At 41.2% G+C, this 21,285-nt stretch overlaps 1 protein-coding gene and 2 long non-coding RNA genes across 8 annotated transcripts in view, besides 4 other annotated features; 2 read left to right on the forward strand and 1 right to left on the reverse strand.

The window, feature by feature from the left end:
- Nucleotides 1-2,463, forward strand: part of LOC105375211 (uncharacterized) — a 75,204-nt gene extending 72,741 nt beyond the window's left edge. Inside the window, exon 3 of the long non-coding RNA XR_007060268.1 lies at nt 2,324-2,463. This is a non-coding gene — a long non-coding RNA (uncharacterized LOC105375211). The remainder of the gene's footprint in view (nt 1-2,323) is intronic.
- A 10,009-nt stretch (nt 2,464-12,472) lies between these two features.
- On the reverse strand, nt 12,473-20,089 carry TAX1BP1-AS1 (TAX1BP1 antisense RNA 1). The gene is made up of 2 exons (NR_187572.1): nt 19,430-20,089; nt 12,473-13,287 (listed from the first exon to the last, which is right to left on the reverse strand). It is a non-coding gene; the product is annotated as a TAX1BP1 antisense RNA 1 (long non-coding RNA).
- The window catches only part of TAX1BP1 (Tax1 binding protein 1), a 90,395-nt gene continuing 87,896 nt past the window's right edge, over nt 18,787-21,285 (forward strand). For 5 of the 6 annotated variants that reach the window (NM_006024.7, NM_001362794.2, NM_001079864.3 and 2 more), the window contains exon 1: nt 19,576-19,683. The gene's annotated coding sequence lies outside the window, so the exon portion shown is untranslated. Of the gene's footprint in view, nt 18,965-19,575; nt 19,684-21,285 lie in introns of those variants that run through there. The other variant, NM_001206901.1, reaches the window with a different exon arrangement.
- Nucleotides 19,511-20,373: an enhancer, noted in NCBI's record as "NANOG-H3K27ac-H3K4me1 hESC enhancer chr7:27779716-27780578 (GRCh37/hg19 assembly coordinates)". NCBI's record gives its function as "activates a minimal SCP1, AML or CMV promoter by ChIP-STARR-seq in primed H9 embryonic stem cells {active_cell/tissue: H9 hESC(primed)}" and the evidence as "EXISTENCE:reporter gene assay evidence [ECO:0000049][PMID:30033119]".
- Nucleotides 19,590-19,859: an enhancer, noted in NCBI's record as "active region_25792". NCBI's record gives its function as "activates an Ori minimal core promoter by ATAC-STARR-seq in GM12878 lymphoblastoid cells {active_cell/tissue: GM12878}" and the evidence as "EXISTENCE:reporter gene assay evidence [ECO:0000049][PMID:35858748]".
- Nucleotides 20,027-20,259: a silencer, noted in NCBI's record as "fragment chr7:27780232-27780464 (GRCh37/hg19 assembly coordinates)". NCBI's record gives its function as "represses an EF-1alpha promoter that drives an FKBP-Casp9 reporter gene in an ReSE screen in HepG2 liver carcinoma cells {active_cell/tissue: HepG2}" and the evidence as "EXISTENCE:reporter gene assay evidence [ECO:0000049][PMID:32094911]".
- Nucleotides 20,374-21,237: an enhancer, noted in NCBI's record as "NANOG-H3K27ac hESC enhancer chr7:27780579-27781442 (GRCh37/hg19 assembly coordinates)". NCBI's record gives its function as "activates a minimal SCP1, AML or CMV promoter by ChIP-STARR-seq in primed H9 embryonic stem cells {active_cell/tissue: H9 hESC(primed)}" and the evidence as "EXISTENCE:reporter gene assay evidence [ECO:0000049][PMID:30033119]".

The following is a 21,285-nucleotide window of genomic DNA, read 5'->3' on the forward strand; positions in this document are numbered from 1 at the left end:
ATGCAGCACACTGTTCAAGGCATGGAGACATTGCAGTGCAAGAAACAAATTAAGTCCCTCTCCGAATGGGGCCTATAATTTTTACGATCGCAAAGATGACAAATATCAGTTAATGAAGAGTATTATTTAAAAAAAGCAGGATAAAGGACTAGAAAAAAGAGTAAGTAAGTAGGATAAAGGACTAGAAAAGTAAACAGGATAAGAGGGATGCTGTTTTGTGTAAGGTAGTCGGAGAAGGCCCCTCTTAAGAGGTGACATTTGAGCAGAGGCCAGAATAAATTAAGGAAGCACACTATGTGGCAACCTGGAAGAACAATATTCCTGGCAGAGGTGACAGCATGTGCATAGGCCCTAAGGCAGAAGCATATTTGCATCATTTTTTCTTACTTTTTATTATGGAAAAATTTAAACTATACAAAAGTAGACAGAATTGTATAAGGAACCCCATGTATCCATTCATCTGCTGCTATACTGCCAACCAATTAATCAACACCCCCACTGGATTATTTTAAAGCAAATCAAGACATCATATAATATCATCCAAAAAAAAATTCAGTATGTATTCCTAAAGACAGGAGCACTTTCCTTTGACATGCCACATCACTGTCACACTTCAAAAATTGTCAATAATTCCTTAATATCATTGAATATTAACTAACATTCAACTTTCCCAGATTGACTCATATATATTTTTACTAGTCGGTTTGTTAAAAATCAGTACGTAAATAAGATTATCTACAACATCTGAAAAATAGCAAGGAGGATGGTGTGGCTGGAAAGAACACAGCTTGATACCAAAGATTACAGCTTCACAGAGAGGGAAAAAAAGCAGGATTGGAATCAAGATGTCCGTTAAAGGAAGTGGGAGAAGGTGATCAGTAGTTATGAGGATGCAATGAACAGGCTAGTGCTGGTTGGCAGAGGTGAACAGGCTTCTGTCAACATTTATGAGAAGTGTTGTCCTGTGGGTCCAGCTCCAGGAGGGGCAATCTAGAAGATGCTATTGCCCCATCCTTGAGATCCTTGGATCCTCTTGCCCCAGACAGGAGAGAATACTAATCTTTATATACCAGCTCCTAATTCTCACAGTAGCCCTGCAAGATGATAACTGTTGTTTATAAAAGATGAAAGAGGCTCAGAGAAGTCAAGTGTCTGGTGTGGTGTGGAGAATGAATTTGAGCACTGGCCTATCTGGCCCCAAAACTGGCCTTCACTTTCTGATATTATATCCTAAATCTATTTCTTTATTGTCCCCTCATGAGGGCAAGGACTTGTCTGTTTCATGCACTGTGATATCCTTGGACCTAGAAAACTAACTGGCACTTGGAAGAAACAAAAATATACATATATATTAATTTAAGGTATGAATGTACATGTTACATAACCTTGGGTCTCACTGAAAATGCTTTTGCAGGGATCAACTCAATTTCAGATCAATTTCTGTGTCTCCATGGCTCAACATGATGCTTTCTACCTCTCTCTACTTCCTTTAATTTTTTCTAGATCCACAGGTCTTGGATGGCTTGGAATATGGTCAGAGTTGGGAAAGATGAAAACAGCTCAGGAATGACCCCAACTGAGATACTATTTTATACTTACTAGGTTAGTAAAAAGTAAAGGCTGACTATATCAAGTGTTGGTGAGGATGTGGACTAACAGGAACTCTTACATATCACTGGTGAGAATGTGAGTTGATAAAATCACTTTGGAAAAGCTTGGCACTGTCTTGTAAAATTGAACTTCTGCATATTCTAAGACTCAACAATTCCACTCCTAGACCTTATTCCTGGAGAACTCTTGTACCTCTTTACAGGAGACTTTCATGGCAGCCTCATTCATAACAGCAAACAACAATACTTGTAGTTCTATTCACAGTAGAATGAGTTCATAAATCATGCTATTGTCACACAACAGAATTTTGTTGTTGTTGTTGTTGTTTTGAGAGGAAGTCTCGCTCTTGTCTCCCGGGCTGGAGTGCAATGGCGTGATCTCGGCTCACTGCAGCCTCCGCCTCCTGGGTTCAAGCGATTCTCCTGCCTCAGCCTCCCGAGTAGCTGGTATTACAGGCTTCTGCCACCACGCCCGGCTAATTCACACAATAGAATTTTATACAGCAGTGAAAATGAATGTGTGAGCTACAGCTACAAGCAACAATATAGATGAATCTTGAAAACATACCCTTGGGTGAACAAAATCAAGTTGCAGAAGACTATTTTAAATATGTTGTTTTTATAAAGCACAAAACAAGGAAGGTGAAACAGTGCAAAGTTTAAATATCTATATATTTATATCTATCTACTAAAACCATTGTTTTAAAACATAGGAAAAACAAATGCAAACAAATCAAGATTTCAGTTACCTCTGAAAAGGCGGCAGAAAAATGAGAAGATTCTGTGAGGTAAAGGAGAGAAACATATATAGGTAGGTGAAAAAAATAGATAATGTTGTCATTCTTCTTAAGTTTGGGTGGTGTGTTAATGGCTACTTATTTTATTCTAACACTTCCAAGCTCAGAAATTAACTATGTGACTTGTTTTGTAGGTATCAAATAAATAAATAAATAAAACAAGCCAGTCAGCAGGATGGAGCAGTGTGTGAGGGCATCCTGTCTGCCATCCACACAGCCATCTGCTGGCTGCTGGCAGGAGTGTGCTTTTGGCATCTGGAAGCTGTTGTTTACTGTATGGTGGGTGCCAGGAGGTGTGCTGAATCCCTTAAGTGAGAAATGAAACACTTGCTCAAACTTGGAACTCCCAAGTACACATCCAGTAATTACACACCAGGGAGCAGACTTCATTCAGGGAATGCATAATTTATTTGTGCTTAGACATTCCTTTACTGTTTGACAATGTAGTGATCACACCGAGAGGTACCAAGGATTCAAATGTGTTCTTTTATAAACATTTTTCTTCATGCCCATCATGCTGCATAAAGCTGCCAAAGATCACGCCTTAAGTTCACTGAGCTTCTTTGCCACAGACACGGAGGCACACACATTCTCAGCTACATGTGTAGAATTAATATGTCTGATCTCACTTGGTCTCATGTGAGAAAAGTCACAAATTTCATCCATCTTTCTAGTACAGTTTCAGGACTCCTGGCAGCTCTTGCAATCTATAAATGGGGTAACTTTATTAATTCTAATTAAGTGTCAGAAATGAAAATAGAAAACATACAGAAGGACTTTTTCCTTAATAAGAAATGTTAACACCATGTGATCTCAGCTTGTGCCAAAGACAGTAGTTGTACTGGAGTCTAAGGTGTCAGACTGTTTTGAAGAGTTTTAAAAGTATTGAAAAGGAATTTATTCATTCTTTTTAATGATAAGTTTTAGAGAATAAAAATCTATGCTTGCTCTCCCCACAATGAAAATGAAGATTTATAAATCATCCAGACAATATGATCAATGTAAATAAACTGGTAATCTAGATACCTTTAGTTTTAGGCTTATATTGTCAACTGAATGTCTTTATCCCATGAATCAGACAATTGCTATATCTCCATTTTACTTTCTTCAAATTAGACACAGTGTTAATAATTACTCTGGCCTACAAGATCATTTTCTTGCAAATTAAAAAAAAACTTTGAATAAACCAATTGAAGAAGCCATGTGCATATATATAATATATAAACATATATGTGTGTATAATACATACACATTATATATGTATATAGTAATAGTACACACATACTTAAATACATATATATGGAAAAACATTTTTTTTTTCTTTAGAGACAAAGTCTTGCACTGTTGCCCAGACTGGAGTGCAGTGGCATGATCGTAGCTCACTGAAGCCTGGAACTCCTGGACTCAAGCGATCCTCCCACCTCAGCCTCCTGAATAGCTGGGACTACAGGCATGTGCACCATGCCCAGCTAATTTTTTTTTTTTTTTTAGACAGAGTCTCACTCTGTTGCCCAGGCTGGAGTTCGGTGGTGCGAATTAGCTCACTGCAGCCTCCACCTCCCGGGTTCAAGCGATTCTCCTGCCTCAGCCTCCTGAGTAGCTGGGATTACAGGCACCCGTTACCATGCCCGGCTAATTTTTGTATTATTAGTAGAGATAAGGTTTCACCATGTTGTCCAGGCTGGTCGCGAAACTCCTGACCTCAGGTGATCTGCCCGTCTCAGCTTCCCAAAGTGCTGGGATTACAGGCATGAGCTACTGTGCCCGGCCTGCCCAGCTAATTTTTAATTTTTGTGTAGAGACAGGGTCTCTACACAAACTCCTGGGCTCAAAACAATCCTCCTGCTTTGGCCTCTTAAAGTGTAGGGATTACAGGCCTGAGCCACAGCATCTGGCCAGGAAAAGCATTTTTAAAAAACTGCCTACTATTCTTAGACTATGTAGCAGTGGGTTTATAAAAATACTTGTATTAAAATGATATTCCATTAGATTAATTCACATGAAACTTTTTAATTTTTTTTTTTTTTGAGACGGCATCTCACTCTGTCTCCCAGGCTAGACTGCAGTGGTGTGATCTTGGCTCACTGCAACCTCTGCCTCCCGGGCTCAAGTGATTCTCCTGCCTCAGCCTCCCGAGTAGCTGGGATTATAGGCACACACCACCATGCCCGACTAATTTTTTGCAGTTTAGTAGACATGGGGTTTCACCATGTTGCCTGGGATGGTCTTGAACTCCTGAGGTCAGGCAGTCCGCCCACCTTGGCCTCCCAGAGTGCTGGGATTACAGGCGTGAGCCACTGTGCCCAGCCCACATGTAATTTTTAAAACTTACAATCATCAATAAAGAATGACACTATACACAACATGATGTACAAGTGTCCTTTCGTAGCTTAAGGGTCTGGTCACGTTGCTGGGACTATTTCTTACATAGTTATTAGTATTTTCCTTTACGAGCTTTTGGTTCTTGGGCACCATGATTATACAATATCCACTCATTTATTCATTAATTTATTCAACAAATATTTATAAAATATTTGAAAATAATACTGTGAGATGCTACTCACTTTGGTGCTGGGGCCATAATGATGGACAAAATCAAATATGACTCTTTACCTCACAGAATCTTCTGTCTAATGCTAAATATATTAATAAAATAATCACCAAAAAAGTTTTTTTTTAAATTTTTTTAAATTTTGAGATGGAGTCTTGCTCTGTTGTCCAGGCTGGAGTGCAGTGGCGTGATCTTGGCTCACTGCAACCTCTACCTCCTGGGTTCAAGCGATCGATTCTCCTGCCGTAGTCTCCCAAGTAGCTGGGAAATACAGGCGCCCACCACCATGCCTGGCTAATTTTTTTATTTTTAGTAGAGTCAGGCTTTCACCACATTGGCCAGGCTGTTCTTGAACTCCTGACCTTGTGATCCACCTGCCTCGGCCTCCCAAAGTGCTGGGATTACAGGTGTGAGCCACCGTGCCCGGCCCCAAAAAGGTATATAATTATGAAATGTGAATAAAGAAAAGTATGTGGTGCTGAAAGATTATAATGGAAATATGCCTTAGTTTGGGAACATCTCAGAAGGCTTTCCTGAGAAAGCCATGTTTAAGGCGAAGAGGGCCTGGTATACAGAATCAGCCATGTGAATCTCATTTTCTTTAGAATTCTTTTTAATGCCTGGTGTTTTGCCAGTTACTCTCTAATTACTTTCAAAGTTGTATGATTAGTTATAATCAAATTCACAAAAACCGACTGAATACTTACTATGTGATGAGTAGTATAAGTACTAAAATAAAGTCCTTCCCTTCAATGAGTTACTTAGGGAAACAGCACAATGTGATAATACAAAATAAAACTTACAAGCAAAATAAGAGATATGCAAGCTAGAGCACAAAAGAAGGAAAGCTTTCTTCTAGTTAGAAGTAGATTCTAGAGCATTTTCACTAAGCTTGTGGCATATATCTTGGGCCTTGCAGTATTGATAGGAGTTTGAAGATACAGATGGGGGAAAGTAATTCAGTACGACGTAGGGATGGGAAAACATGAAACATATTCTAGAAATTGTGGGTCTAGTTTGAGTTCTGTAACAGGAAGTGGTGAGAGTTGCGGCTGGACAGTTAGACTGGAATCAACCTGTGACAGTCCCTGATGGCCATGAGTTTGTATGGGCTTTTCAAAGTAGTAGATGAGCCAGCCTCAGTGGCTCACACCTGTAATCCCAGCACTTTGGGAGGCGGAGGTGGGCGAATCACTTGAGGCCAGAAGTTCCAGACCAGGCTGCTCAACATGATGGCACCCCGTCTCTACTAAAAATACAAAAATTAGCCAGGTGTGGTGGCTCACGCCTATAATCCCAGCTACTCGGAAGGCTGAGGCAGGAGAATCACTTGAACCCGGGAGGTGGAGGTTGCAGTGAGCCGAGATCGAGATCGTGCCACTGCCCTCCAGCCAAAAAAAGAGAGGGAGGCAGGGAGGGAGGAGGGAGGGGGAAGGAGGTAGAGAGAGAGAGAGAGAGAGAAGAAAGAAAGAGGATAGATAACTCCTTAGATGTGTAAAGAAGTGGATGATAGATAACTCCTTAGACGTGTGCATCCAGCCCTGCTCAGCTCTCCTACTCCATACTGTGGCACTAGGTCAAGAAAATGATTAACGCTAATATCCCCGTCCGTTTCTGTTCCTTAAGCTGGGCAAAAGTGAGGCAGATAAATTGTGTGCATTTGGAGGAACACAGAGGGACTATATCCTTGAGGTTAGAGACCTTGTCCTATTCATATTGATATGCCCATCGCCTCCTTGAGGTTAGGGACCTTGTCCTATTCATATTGATATGCCCATCGCCTCACATAAGCCTGGCATTTGATTAGTAATAAGTAACTGTTAGCTCCCATATTAATCTACTCAGTCACTAAGTAGAAGACAATAAAAGATCAAAACCCATATATTGCCCTTTTTTCAATTACATTTTTTATTACAAGACACTGAGCAGACATAACCAAATACAATGTATTTTATTGGACCTTGGCTTGAAAAAAATAGATAAAAAAGGCATTCTTGGGACATTTGGTGAACTCTGAATATGGCTCATTTATAGGAAGATATTATGAAATTATTATTCATTTTCCTAGGTGTTTGCAACTTTCTCAAATGTTCAGAAAGCACACAAACATACATATAAGGCAAATATATAAAAATATTACTAATTGTTGAATCTGGATGGATGATATGCAGTTATTCATTTTACTACTCTTTTAACTTTTTTTTTTTTTGAGATGGAGTCATGCTCTGTTGCCCAGGCTGGAGTGCAGTGGCACTATCTCTGCTCACTGCACTCTACCTCCTGGGTTCAAGAGATTCTCCTGACTCAGCCTCCCGAGTATCTGGGACTACAGGCACATGTCGCCACGCCTGGCTAATTTTTGTATTTTTAGTAGAGACAAGGTTTCACCATGTTGGCCAGGCTGGTCTCGAACTCCTGACTTCAGGTGATACGCCTGCCTCAGCCTCCCAAAGTGCTGGGATTACAGGCGTGAGACACCGTGCCTGGCCTTAACTTTTCTATATGTTTGAAATTATTCATAATAATAAGTTAGGGAGGCTTTTCATTTCAAAAATCAGTGTTTTTAGTGTCTAGTAAAGAAACAAACTCTGGCTTATCTAGGAAAACAGTTTTTACTGAACAGGGAGTGGACAGCTCACAGATCCTCTGGGAAGGCTTGAAAATCATAATATGAGGGACCAGTCCTTCAAAGAACTACTCACCTTTCCCCCACCGTCCACACAGCTGGTTCTGCTAACACTGATGCTACAATTACTGTCATGTCTCCCTCTGGAGACCCCACAGTTTCCACTGAGCTGCTGCCTCTCCTGGGCCAGAATGAATTCTATATGCAGCTAACTGGTGGAGCCCAGGACCCGATAACAAGGGAGTATGAAAAAACACATTTCTTCCATTTTCAATATTTATAATGGAATACAAAATCTGCTTCATAAGGTGGGGGATTCCCCAAAGCAAGGTGGTTCAGAAGTTGATTGGTCAAGAACAATAACAAAGGTCAACTACAGAAGTATGTATGTATGTATTATTATTATCTATTTTTTTTTTTTTGAGACGGAGTCTCGCTCTGTCACCCAGGCTGGAGTGCAGTAGTGCAATCTCTGCTTACTGCAAGCTCCGCCTCCCGGGTTCATGCCATTCTCCTGCCTCAGCCTCCCAAGTAGCTGGGACTACAGGTGCCCGCCACCACGCCCGGCTAATTTTTTGTATTTTTAGTAGAGACGGGGTTTCACCATGTCAGCCAGGATGGTCTCGATCTCCTGACCTTGTGATCCACCCGCCACGGCCTCCCAAAGTGCTGGCGTGATCCACCGCACCCGGCCCAGAAGTATGTATTATTGAAGATGAAAGTTATACTCCTTCTCAGAAAGATAGGAGACATATGAAAAAAGTTATACCCCTTTCCAGAAGGCATCACAATTTTATATGTATCCTTCCATATATACAGATAGATATAAATACATATAGATATATAAGATACTGGTAAAAATATATATATTTTATATAAACAATAATAATGGTAGTAGCTAACATTTACTGAGTAATAGCTATGTACCGGATACCATTTTGAAATATTGCTTATGTAAACTAACACATTTCTGCTGACAACAGAATCCTCTGAGATGGGTACTAACATTACTACTCTAATTTTCCTATAAGAAAACCGAAGGCTAAGTAAATATTTAAACTATCCAGGTTTCCAGAACTAGTAAGTGGTGGAGCCAGGATTATGAATTCAGATAGAGCATACACTCTTTAAACACAGCCTCTCTAATACCTATTGTTTATTATTTTCCTTATTCACTTACAATATGTGATTGTCTACTTCATTCTTTTAATGGCTACATATTATGGGCATATCACAATTAATCTAACCATTCCCCCATTAGTCAACATTTAGTTTGTCTAATTCTTCCCTATTCAAAGTAATATGTCCTATTAAATATTTTTCTGCATATGTGTAAGTATTTCCAAGAGTCCTGGAAGTGCAGTTGCTGGTCAAATAGTACAAACACCTTAAATTTTATGTATATTGCTAAATTGTCCTCTAAAACATTTTGTACCAATTTACATCCCACCTCTCTGAGTATGAGGGTCTCTTTCTGTTATCAATCTCTACATTTGTATCAATTTAATGGTGAAAAGCATTTCATTGTGATTTTATGTTTCCCTGATCATTAGTGTAGCTCAGCATCTTTTCATGTGTTCATTGACTGTTCATAATTTTCCTTCTATGAATTGCTTATTTATGTATTTTAATCCATTTTTCCATTGGTTAGTCTTTTTTTTTAATTTGAAGCTTTATTAAAAAAATCCTTTGTCATGTTACTAATGGTTAAACTTTATCTAAACTGAGAACAAATAATTTAAAAAGCAAGAGACATGTGTGTCTGTGTATGCACTTGTGTGATTAAAAAATCAATCAGCGGTGAAATCTACACAGGGCCTGTGGTCTAGTTAACAGTATGGTACTAATGTCAATTTCCTTGCTTTGATATTGTACTATAGTTATACTAAATATTACCATTGGGGCAAGCCGAGTGTATTAGTTTCCTAGGGCTGCTGTAATAAATTATCACAAACCGGATAGCTCAAAATAATAGGAATTTGTTCTCTCTTAGTTCTGCAGGCTAGAAGTCTGAAATCAAGGTATTGGCAGATCCATGCTCTCTGAAGCATCTAGAGGAGGATCGTTTCTGGCTTCTTCCCCAGTTTCTAGTGGTTTCTATCAAATCCTTGTATGCTGGTGTTCCTGTGCTTGTACATACAGTACTTCAATGTCGGCCTCTGTTGTCATGTGGTGTTCTCTGTGTACCTATGTCCAAATATCCCTCTTCTTACAAGAACACGAGCCACTGGATTGATGCCCACCCTAATCCAGTATGACCTCATTTCAACTTGATTATATCTGAAATGATAAGGTGACATTCATAGGTTCCTGGGATTAGGACTCGAGCGTATGTTTTTGGCACACTCAATTCAACTCAGATACTGGGTGAAGGGTACAGCGGACTCCCTTTACTTTTTTTTTTTTTTTTTTGCCACTACCTGTAAGCCTAATTATTTCAAAATAAAAACATTTTAAAAAAATCTATCTGGAAAAACATAACAAAATTATTAACAACGGTTACCTCTTTAGAAAATTTTACATTTTATTTGATACACTTCAGTCCAGCTTGGCTTTCCTTGGGAGTTATGGTATATGACTTTTGTCATTTAAAAACTAAAACAAAAAAAAATAGAAATTTGGGAGAAAAGAATGGTCTTGTCATTAAAGCACTTAGATCTTAGCCTTTTGGAAAGAAAACTTTAGTAGCAGTGTGAAGGGATGGTAAAGGGATGGTTTGATGCTAGAAGCTGAGAGACTAGATAAGAAATGTGTGCACTTATCAAGGTGAAAAGAGATAAGGACCTGAGCTGGGAGCACTGGTAGGGAACGGCAAGGAGGAGGTAAATGTGAGAAACATTCAGAATGCAACATAGACAGGATTTGGTGACTGATTGCATATAATGGAGTAAGTAAGAGCGAGGAGTTGAGACAAATTCCCAGGTTCCTGGCAAGCAAGACTGGGTCCTTGGTGTTGCCATTCATTGAGATAGGCTGGTTTTTGTCCATTTGCCCCAATAGAACTATTCTCCACCCTTTACCTCACTACTTTCTGCCCAAGAAGCTGACCTCAAGAGACCGAATCCCTGGGCTCTTTTTATCCCTGGTTTCAGGTTGGGTTTGGCCAATGAGTGGTATTAGCAAGAGATCAGAGAGAGGCCACACCTTCTAACAGAGAGCCCTTCCTCCACATCCAGGTCTCAAATGCTTCCCTGACCCAGTTGGGGGATAACAGCTTCCTCTCTGTTTCTGCTTCTTCTGCTGCTAGAGAGAAACTTTACTGGATTCTTAAAGGGTCCTATCATTAAACTCTCATCAATGACTTACAGAGTGTGTCATCCATTTCCTGCCAGGACCTTGATTGGTATAGAAAAGGAATGCAGGTGAAGGGGAGTGAAGTGAGAGAAAGATGGCAAATTCACTTTTAGAAATGCGGGGCTGGACATGGTGGCTCATGCCTGCAATACCAGCACTTTGGGAGGCCAAGGCGAGGGGATCGTGTGAGGCTAGGAGTTCAAGACCAACCTGGGCAACATAGCAAGACACTGTCTCTACAAAAAATGAAAAATTAGTCAGGTGTAGTGGTACATGCCTATCATCCCAGCTATTCAGGAGGCTGAGGTGGGAGGATTGCTTGAGTCCAGGAGGTCAAGGCTGCAGTGAGCCGTGATTGTGCCACTGCCTTCCAGCCTGGGTGACAAAGCAAGACTCTGTCTCTTAAAAAAAAAAAAAAAAAAAAAGAAGGCCAGTTCGCATTGGCTCATGCCTGTTAATCCCAGCACTTTGGGATGCCAAGGCCAGCGGATCACAAGGTCAAGAGATCAAGACTATCCTGGTCAACATGGTGAAACCCTGTCTCTATTAAGAATACAAAAATTAGCTGGGCATGGTGGTGTGCACCTGTAGTCCCAGCTACTCGGGAGGCTGAGGCAGGAGAATCACTTGAACCTGGGAGGCGGAGGTTGCAGTGAGCCGAGATTGTGCCACTGCACTCCAGCCTGGTGACAGAGTGAGACCCTGTCTAAAAAAAAAAAAAAAAAGAACAAAAAAACCTGGGTTTAGGATGTTTGTGTGACATGTAAGTGGATATCTATTATACATAGGGTTGATGTCAGGAGGAAAGCCTGGGCTGGAGATATAGATCTGGTAGATCTGGTAGTTATTAATAAATGTATTAGTATATTTGGCAATTGAAAATATGCAATCATAATCAGAAATAATTTAAACCTGAAGGGACTGATGGCTGGACTCTGAGGAAGATTAGTACTTATGGGAGCAACTGCAAAATGAGAAGCCCACAAATGAAATTGAGAAGGCATATTCAGAGAAATAAAAGGAAGACTAGGATGCAATTGTATCCCAAAGGGGATAAGGAAAAAGTTTTAAGCAGGAAGGAGTGAACAATTCTATCATTAGAACTTCTTGGTTGAAAAGTTTGTGGAATAAGGTCTGAGAACTGAAAAGTAGGTTGGGAAATGAGGGTCATTGATGACCTTACCATGGTAACTTTCAGTGGACTGGTGGGGGTTGAGCACACTTTTTTTTTTTTTTGAGATGGAGTCTGCTTTTGTCACCCAGGCTGGAATGCAGTGGCACGATCTTGGCTCACTGCAACCTCCGCCTCCCGGGTTCAAGTGATTCTCTTGCCTCGGCCTACTAAGTAGCTGGGACTATGGGCACCTGCCACCACGCCCAGCTAATTTTTGTATTTTTAGTAGAGACAGGGTTTCACCATGTTGGCCAGGCTGGTCTCGAACTCCTGACCTCTGGTGATCTGCCTGCCTCGGCCTCCCAAAGTGCTGGGATTACAGGCGTGAGCCACCATGCCCAGCCTGAGCACATTTTATGGGGTGAGGAAGGCAAGATTAATGAACATGTAGCAGTATGAATTTTAGCCCACAACTCAAGCTTGTAAAGAAATATGTTTTAATATATTCCACCAATTCAATTTCTGTTTTGAGTCTCCATTCTGGTTTTGTCAGGATTTTGAAATATTGCTCTGTACTAAGATAGGGTACGGGATATTTTGGAGACCAGGAAGGTTAAACGGGCTGTGTGGTTTTGTCCACCTAGAAGCACCCTCCCACCCTCTCAGACCCAGAGAAATCTGTTTCTAGAGTTGAGGGGGAGGAAGATGCTGCCTGTTCTCCCTCCACCTATATACCCCTGCCCTTGGCTTCTCCTGAAGCCATTTCTCTGTGGCCTGAATCCTCTCCCCATTTGTGGGGTTTGAGAGTCTAGAAACAAAAGCCAGAAAGATTTTCCTTCTACATCCTTTCTTCAATGCAACAAACCTATGGGTGAGGGTTGGGAAAGTGGCAAGCTATACAAGGAATACCAAGAAAAATAGGTTAATATCTAAAATATCACATCATATAGGTTGGTCCTTAAGAAGTTCAGCTGGGAAGGAAAGAAAAAAAATAGGATGCTAGTTGGAAGAAGATATGGGTTAAAAGGAGCTTCTCCCGGAATGATAGCAACTGTGCTTAAAGAAGCACAAGGAAGTTTCCTTACTTAAAGAGATCCTCCCCCATGCATGGAAATCCAGCTTGACAGACTCATTACTTTATGCTCGTAGGTCTTATTTTGAGATCCTGAGACTTGCATTAAGTTCCTCACAGGCACAGAGATTACTACTGAGAATCAGTCTCTTTTTTTTTTTTTTTCCTGGATAACACTGCTTGGTGCCCGAGGGGTGGAGGCTGTTAAACCTGTGAAGGGTACCTGAAAAAGAGGAAAAAGTGTAGAAAAGGAAAGATTCAGGAAGGGGAATTTTGTCTACTCACAGCTTGTCTTAGAACTTGCTATATCGCACTATGTAACGTCAGAAGTCAATTTTCACAATTAACTAATAAAATGTATTACAAATTACTTTCTAAAGATGCTCAGCATAAGTACTTGGTAATAATTTCATTTTTCCTTTTGTCTTCATGGCAGGATCAGCCTAGCCACGGTCTCTTGTGAGAATAAAGGCATTTCTTTCATCTATTAAACCCAATGCTAAATGGCAATAAATCATCATTCATTGAATTCTGCAACCTAAACTATACCTTACTGAAGAAATTCTAGCCCCTATGCATCATAATTAACATCAAGTAGCAGTAGAAAATTACAGTACAACAAAGACCTACATTTTGGCAGCAACCCTACTTGGTCGGAACGGAATGAACTCTGAGCAATTACTTCAGGGGAAGAAAGAAAAATAAGACAGGCTTTACCTATGAAGCTAAACAAAGCAGTAGAATGGTTGTGTCAGTCTGGGTCCAATTAGTAGAGAAAAACCATATAGGTAATACGAACAAGGAAAGTTTAATATAAAGAATTATAAACTATAACAGGAGATTGAAGTAACAAGGCTAACAGGAGTAAAAGGAACTCTAAAAAATATAAGAATGGCTGATATAAGGAGAGGCACCACCCCTAGATCTGAGATAGAGTGTCCAAGCAAGATCACCTCTCAGGGCTGACATCTAGGCCCTGGAAAGGGCACGTCTGTGGGTCCCTGAATAAAGTCGCACAGAGAAGTCTCACAGAGAAGTCCTTGTGTTGCTGAGCTGGTGAAACTTGCTGGAAATTCACCTTCTGGAACTTGCCAGAAATCTACCATCTGGAACTTGCTAGACATCCACTATCTGGAACTTGCTAGAAATCTGCCCTCTGCATCTTGCTAGAAATATGCCTTCTGGAACTTGCTGGAAATAGATGGAAGATGAGGGAGTATAATATAGACAATTCTTCCTAGAAGTGAGAAGGTTGCTTGTAAAGACAAAAGACAATAGGAGCTGGAAGGAAACAGGGAGCTGGGAAAGTTTTTAAAAATTGAAGAGACTTCAATATGTTTAAAAAGACAATGGAAAAGATCTCGTGGAGATAGGGGGCTTGAATATAAAAATGAGATAATGCAGAGTTCCTGAGAAGGTGGGAGGTGTTGGGATCTGTGAAATAAAAACATATTTGAGCCTAAAACTTTGATTTAGCCTTGGTTAAAATTAAACATTTGAAGATTATCTTAACATTTCCTTAAAATAATTTTTATTAACTTTAATTATCATTGATACACAGTGACTCACAAAATACAGGTATTTAATAAGAAACACTGGGAAGGAAGAATCTTGTTGACATAAGTACCTTAAAAATTCAAAGTACTTTGCTGGCTATTACTCTTCTCAGTAAGATGAGGAAGAGAGGTTAGAAAATATTTACATTCTAGTGACCTTTCAGTTGCACAAGGAACAAAGAACACTGTTAGGAGCCAATGGGGCAAAGGTCTTATATAAACCTCTGCAGGCTCTGTTTCTTAGTATCATAAATTATAGTTTCTCTTTTTGATAGTGCAAGAAACTTCCCAAAACACTCAATTTTAACTTCAAAGTTTCTGCTTAGTATTTCCAGACGTAAACTTTAGTGTAAAGCATGTGATGACTACAAAGTCTGTAATGCATTTGTTATAGGAAATTTTCCTTAATGTGCAAGATAGGAAGTCAAGGGAGTTTAAGGTGTTGGAAGTCGTGTTAATGAAATTATAGCTATGGACTCTAAGTTGGATACTGAGGGAAGTATTAAAAAAAGAAATGGATTGAGATGCTGATGAGTTTGAAAAATAGTTCTGCTGGGCATATTTGAATGAACAAGTTAGAAGAATAGGAGATTGTGGTCAAAGAGTAGGAGGCTTGCTTTTCAAGATGATGGCAAGGGCCAAGGTGTGACCACAGAAATAGGTATCTGGAGTGGAGTATTTGAGATGAGGGATTCAGGAAATTAAAATGCTGGGATGTTGGCCTTTTCATTTTAATCTCATCCAAGTAGACAATGAATGGCTTAGAATGGAGGAGACTGTGCACTAGGTGACACTCTTCACTGAATGAGGAACAGTGACTTGGAGATCAGAAGACGACAGCCACAGGGAGGGAAGACGGAGCATAACACAACAGTGTATATCTCAAAGGAGCAAAGGTGTGTTACAAGCACCTAGGTAGGTAATGATTGGGAAACAAGGAGCAATGAATACATCAATAAAATCTAACAGACAGGGAAAGAGAAAATCAGCCTATTTTAGAGTGTTTGGAATCCTCTCTTTCTCTGCCTATCCAAAGCCTACCATTATTCAAATCTCATTTTTAAAGGCTCTCTTTTTAGATTGAGACCATCCTGGCCAACATAGTGAAACCTCGTCTCAACTAAAAATACAAAAAAATTATCTGGGTGTGGTGGCATGCACCTGTAGTCCCAGCTACTTGGGAGGCTGAGGCAGGAGAATCACTTGAACCCGGGAGGCAGAGGTTGCAGTGAGCCAAGATTGCGCCACTGCACTCCAGCTTGGGTGAAAGAGTGAGACTCTGCCTAAAAAAAAAAAAAAGCTCTCTTTTTAAAACAAAGGTTTACAAAGGTGTTTTTTTCTTTTTAATTAAGAATCATTTATAACAAAAGGAATCTTTAATACAAATTCTAATGTAAACCATTGTTCTAAGAAAGGAGAACAACTCATTTGCCTGGCTTTTAAAACCTGTAATGTTTCTAATAAAACATGTCTATTTGAACTTTTTCAAAAATTTTCAATCCATGTTTTGCTATCTAGTTGTCCCATCTGTGCCTTTTAAATTATATTATTCTCACTATGTAAGCCTTTTTTTCATCTTTTCAAATCTTATCAGTCTTTTGAAGTTTAGAGACCAATCTCTTTTACAAAGTCTAGCTAATTTCAAAATTAATTATTCTGTATATCTTTCTACTTTATTTCTCATAGTCCATTTCCTTCAAATTTGACAGTTATCTATACCATCCGGTAACATCTTGACCTGATTTTAAGCAGTTTCAGGGAAGAAACCATGCTTGATTCCTTGTTTTTCCCAGAGCACATAGTAAATGAACAAAATGCTCTTATTAAGAAGCGACATGACACAATGGTGAATGAATGAACTTTGGAGGAAATTATTATTTTTGGTTAACAATTTTCTTCTTGCCTGATTCCCTTGCCCAAGCTCTTAAATCCTGACTGGAAAGTCCTCCTCCTCCATCTCCTCATCGAAATCATACCTCACTTTGACAGTCTAGGCCTGCCTCCCCCATGAAAAGTGTACTGCTAACATAAGCCTGTACTTTCTCCCATCTCTGAATATCTGTCTTCCTATTCATTTACACTTTAGTTACCTACATTTTCATGGGCTCATTTCTTTTCTTCCCTTTGCTATCATAAGTTCCTCTAATGAAAGAACAGTGCCTTTTAAATATAGTCAGCATATTTTCCCAATCAAACACAGGACAACTGCCTAGAAACTACTTGACACTGTAGTTGCTCCAGAAAAATCATGGGTTACTCACTGATTTACTTTCCAATAATTCTCTCAATATTCACCACTTCGAAATCTAAAAAGCTCTGAAAATTGGCCAGGTGCGGTGGCTCATGCCTGTAATCCCAGAAGGAGAATCACTCGAACCTGGGAGGCAGAGGTTGCAGTGAGCCGAAATCTTGCCACTGCTCTCCAGCCTGGGTGACAGGGAAGAGGGCAGAGACCCCGTCTCAAAAAAAAAAAAAAAAAGAAAAAGCTCTGAAAATCAAATGTTTTCTCAACATTTGGTGGCAAAACCTGTTTGACCTGACTCATTTGTCATTAAAACTTGACCTGAACCCAAGGGCAAAGTGGCAGAACCTGACCTGAAAAACTTGACTTGAGTGAGACTATACATTTCATTTATCTTAGTGTGATATTCATAATTGTTCCGGAAAAAAAAGTTGACTGTGGGTGCTGCCCCAGATAGTGAGGAATGTCACATAAAGCACACCTCTCTAAAGTCTGAAAAATTCTGAATTCTGAAATCCATCTGGCAGAAAGATTTCACTTAAAGGAAGTGAATCCATATCTCTTCTAGCCATAGTCCACTGCCATACAAATAAGAGGCTAACTTTAAGAAATTCAATTAAAGCCGGGTGCGGTCTCTCATGCTTGTAATCCCAGCACTTTGGGAGGCTGAGGCAGGCAGATCACCTGAGGTCAGGAGTTGGAGACCAGCCTGGCCAACATGGAGAAACCCCGTCTCTACTAAAGATATAAAAATTAGCCCAGTGTGGTGGTGTGCGCCTGTAATCCTAGCCACTGGGGAGGCTGAGGCAGGAGAATTGCTTGAATCTGGGAGGTGGAGGTTGCAGTGACCCGAGATCATGCCACTGCACTACACCCTAGGTGACAGAGCGAGACTCTGTCTCAAAAAACAAACAAACAAAAAACCCAAACCCTACTCCCCCAAAACCCAGAAATTCAATTAAATACTAAGAGGGTATCTATTTATCTTGGTGGGAAAAACTTGGTCTAAAAATTAAAGGATCATTATTAAAATGAATGAAGCAAGCTAAAATTCCAGAACAAATACCTTCCTGGGGAAAATAAGGTCTAAAAATTCAAGAAATAATTAAAAATAACAAAGTAAAAATACCTGTGAAAATGTCCTTTGAGACCAGCCTGACCAACACGGCGAAACCTCCTCTCTACTAAAAATACAAAAATTAGCCAGGCGTGGTGGCTGGCTCCTGTAATCCCAGCTACTTGGGAGGCTGAGGCAGGAGAATTGCTTGAACCCGGGAGGCGGAGGTTGCAGTGAGCCGAGATCGCGCCACTGTACTGCAGCCTGAGCAACAAGAGCGAAACTCCGTCCCTCTCAGGGCAAAAAAAAAAGTCTTTCAATTATGGTTTTTATTAAGCATACTGTTTTTCTGATTTCATTAACTGAAAATTAGTGGTAATTAAAAATGTATTACATATAAATAGGAATGTGATTTAAACAAAGAGTGACATCTCTGACAAATTGTGCTTATAAAATTCACTGCTATGTTTACATTTCTTAAGGGACACAGTTATTTCTACTACCAGAAGGTTGCTACCAGTAACGCAAGTGATAACTTATGTTGATTATTCACACCGTTTTCTTCATCCATAAAATAAGGAGACTGGGACTAAATGGCCTATTAAGGTTCTTCTGAAATTCTATGATCAAGTATAATACCCAGCACAAGACCAAGTTCAAAAATGTCAATACACAGGAAACAAATCAGTCTGTAAATATTGAGAACCTATGTTATCAAAGCTAATGTCTTCTGAAATAACTGGAAGTAAAGATGAAAGTATATGAAAGATAATTTTGAATGTTCTGTATTTAGAATGTGCTTCAACATTTAATGCGATCTAATTTACATATCCTTTCTGGTGCTATTGCAAGGTTTGTCAGGGTTTTACGGCAACAGAAGACTATGATGAATTCGAATGGGACACATTTGCTTCTGTGGAGTTACGATTCAAACTGAATGTCCAATATAGGAAGGCAACATATACAACAAGCAAAAGTGATTTTAGAAATAACAGAACGCGGGAGAAAATTCACACACGGAAAATGATACGGATAACAAAAGCAGGTAACTCACAGAAATGCGGCTAGAAAAGAGGCCTCTGCTGGAGCGAGAGCAAATAGAATCAGAGGGCATTAGAACTGAAAAGCTCCTAGGAGCTTTCAGTGAACAAAACTTCATAGCCAAAAAAGCACACGACTGGGCCAGGAGTTCAGAGACAGTCTTGGTGCTCAGGGGTTTGCAGCCCTAGCCGTGTGGTCACTCCCTTGCTTCTCTGGCTATTTCCTTATCTATAAAATGAGTGGGCTAGTTTAGGCCGACTGAGACGCAGACAGGGATACGGTACTGTCCATGGACCTCTGAGCTGCCCTTTCCACATCGCTGGTGAGTTACTTAAACCTCCTGTGTGTTTCCCCCTTTCGTATGTCAAAATAATAACATAAAATCAGAATGTAAATCCAGACGCATTGTTTTGCTGCGATTAAGTTGAACGAAAATAGCAAGGACGAAGTAAGGAGAGAGCCAGCCTACCCGCGGGATGAGGCGTCCCGCGGCGGAGTGGGCTGGGGGCGTGTCGTCGCGGAGGGGAGCGGCGAACCAGGCAGGAGGCGGAAGAGACCGCCCCGTGGGCGGAAGTGACGCAAGGCCTACTGTCGGCTGGGAGGGGAGGTGTAGCCGGTCTTTGGGGGTAGGCGGTAGTGGCGGAAGAGGTTCGGCGGCTGATGGCGGATCAGGATCGGAAGCCTGCGTAACTTTCTCCCTTGATCCGGGAGTCTTTCCACTGGGTAAGGCGCCTCCCCGGTCCACCCCAGCGCCTTGTGCGGGGCGGCCTCCAGCTGCATCTCTTTTAGGGCTCGTGCTACACCCTTCAGCCCCTGTACTGTAGGGGCCTGGCCGGTCTCGGGAGAGGTCTCTGTGGTGACGAGGCTTTCCTTCCCGAAGACAAACCTTCCTTTCCAGACTGCGATTGTGACGGGGGTGTGGGCGACTCGGATCAGCTGTGGAGTTTTGGAATGGCAACGGGTGGCCGCCCCACGCGGTGGGAGGCCCGTGGGACAGGCCTTCGCGATTTGGGGGAGGCGTGTGGGACGGGGGCCCTTTGGCTGGGGACGAGTGACGCTGGCGACCCCCGAAGGAAAAGCTTCTGGTGTCCAAGGCTAAACTCTGGGGTGACTGTTTTGAGGGCAGTGTGGGTTTTACCGGCGCAGTAAGCTGAGAAAACACGTAGGTCGCGTCCGAGAAGGACGCTGGGGTTTGCCTTTGCGGAGAGAAACCCAGCTGTTTTGGTTTGAGTCGCCGGTGGCGAAGGGGGCGGAGACTCCCTGCGCCGCCTACTTTTGAGGGCCGCGGGCGGAGTTGGCGGTTCTGGCTGATGGCCTGCTTCACCTGGAATCCATTCCCCACCCCGCCCCGTTCGCAAGGTGTGGACTAGTCCCGACCGACTTGCACTCCTGGCTTAGGGAATCTGTGGCTAGAGTTTAGCGTGCGCGCGCGCGCGTACACCTTATTAGTAAAAAATTGAGCTTAGCGTGCGTCTGTGTGGGTGTGTGTACACACCTTATTGGTAAAAGTTTTGTTAGAAAACACTGGCATTTGACTTTAGACATACACAGTGTTAGATTTCCGGTTTCACACAGTGGTTATGAATTGCTATTATGTTAGGCTTTAGATGGGAAAATAAATCTTGATTTTTCAGCTGTCTGCATTCTGCTAATGTTAAAATTTCTACGAGCTGTGCACGAACAATTAATAGTTACAAGTTTGGTGCTCAATTCCTAAAGGATTTAAAGAGATCATTTGAATAGAAACTAAAAGTGGGTCGATCGTCCTCAAAGTGCTTTTCGGGTTTAGGGAAGGAGCTTAGGACAGCCTTTCTCTTTCGTTCTGTTCCTTTCAAGGGTAAACTTGAAGGATTGTTTGATGATGCCGACTTCTAATAAGGTTTTATTTATTTTTCAAACTGATTGTTCAACTTCAAAGAACATTGTAGTTTTTGTTTTCTAGTCATCACGTTCTTTTTTTTTTTTTTTCCTTGAGATGGAGTCTTGCTCTGTCTCCCAGGCTGGAGTGCAGTGGCGCGATCGCGGCTCATTGCAACCTCCGCCTCCCAGGTTCAAGCGATTCTCCTGCCTCAGCCTCCTGAGTACCTGGGATTACAGGCGCGCACCACCACACTGAAGGGGTGGGTTGCCCCTCCACACCTGTGGGTGTTTCTCGTTAGGTGGAATGAGAGACTTGGAAAAGAAAAAGACACAAAGTACAGAGAAAGAAATAAGGGGATCCGGGGAACCAGCGTTCAGCATATGGAGGATCCCGCCAGCCTCTGAGTTCCCTTAGTATTTATTGATCATTTGTGGGTGTTTCTCCGAGAGGGGGCTATGTCAGGG

The sequence above is a fragment of the Homo sapiens genome, chromosome 7 (genome assembly GCF_000001405.40).
Source record: "Homo sapiens chromosome 7, GRCh38.p14 Primary Assembly".
Classification (NCBI taxonomy): Eukaryota; Metazoa; Chordata; class Mammalia; order Primates; family Hominidae; genus Homo; species Homo sapiens.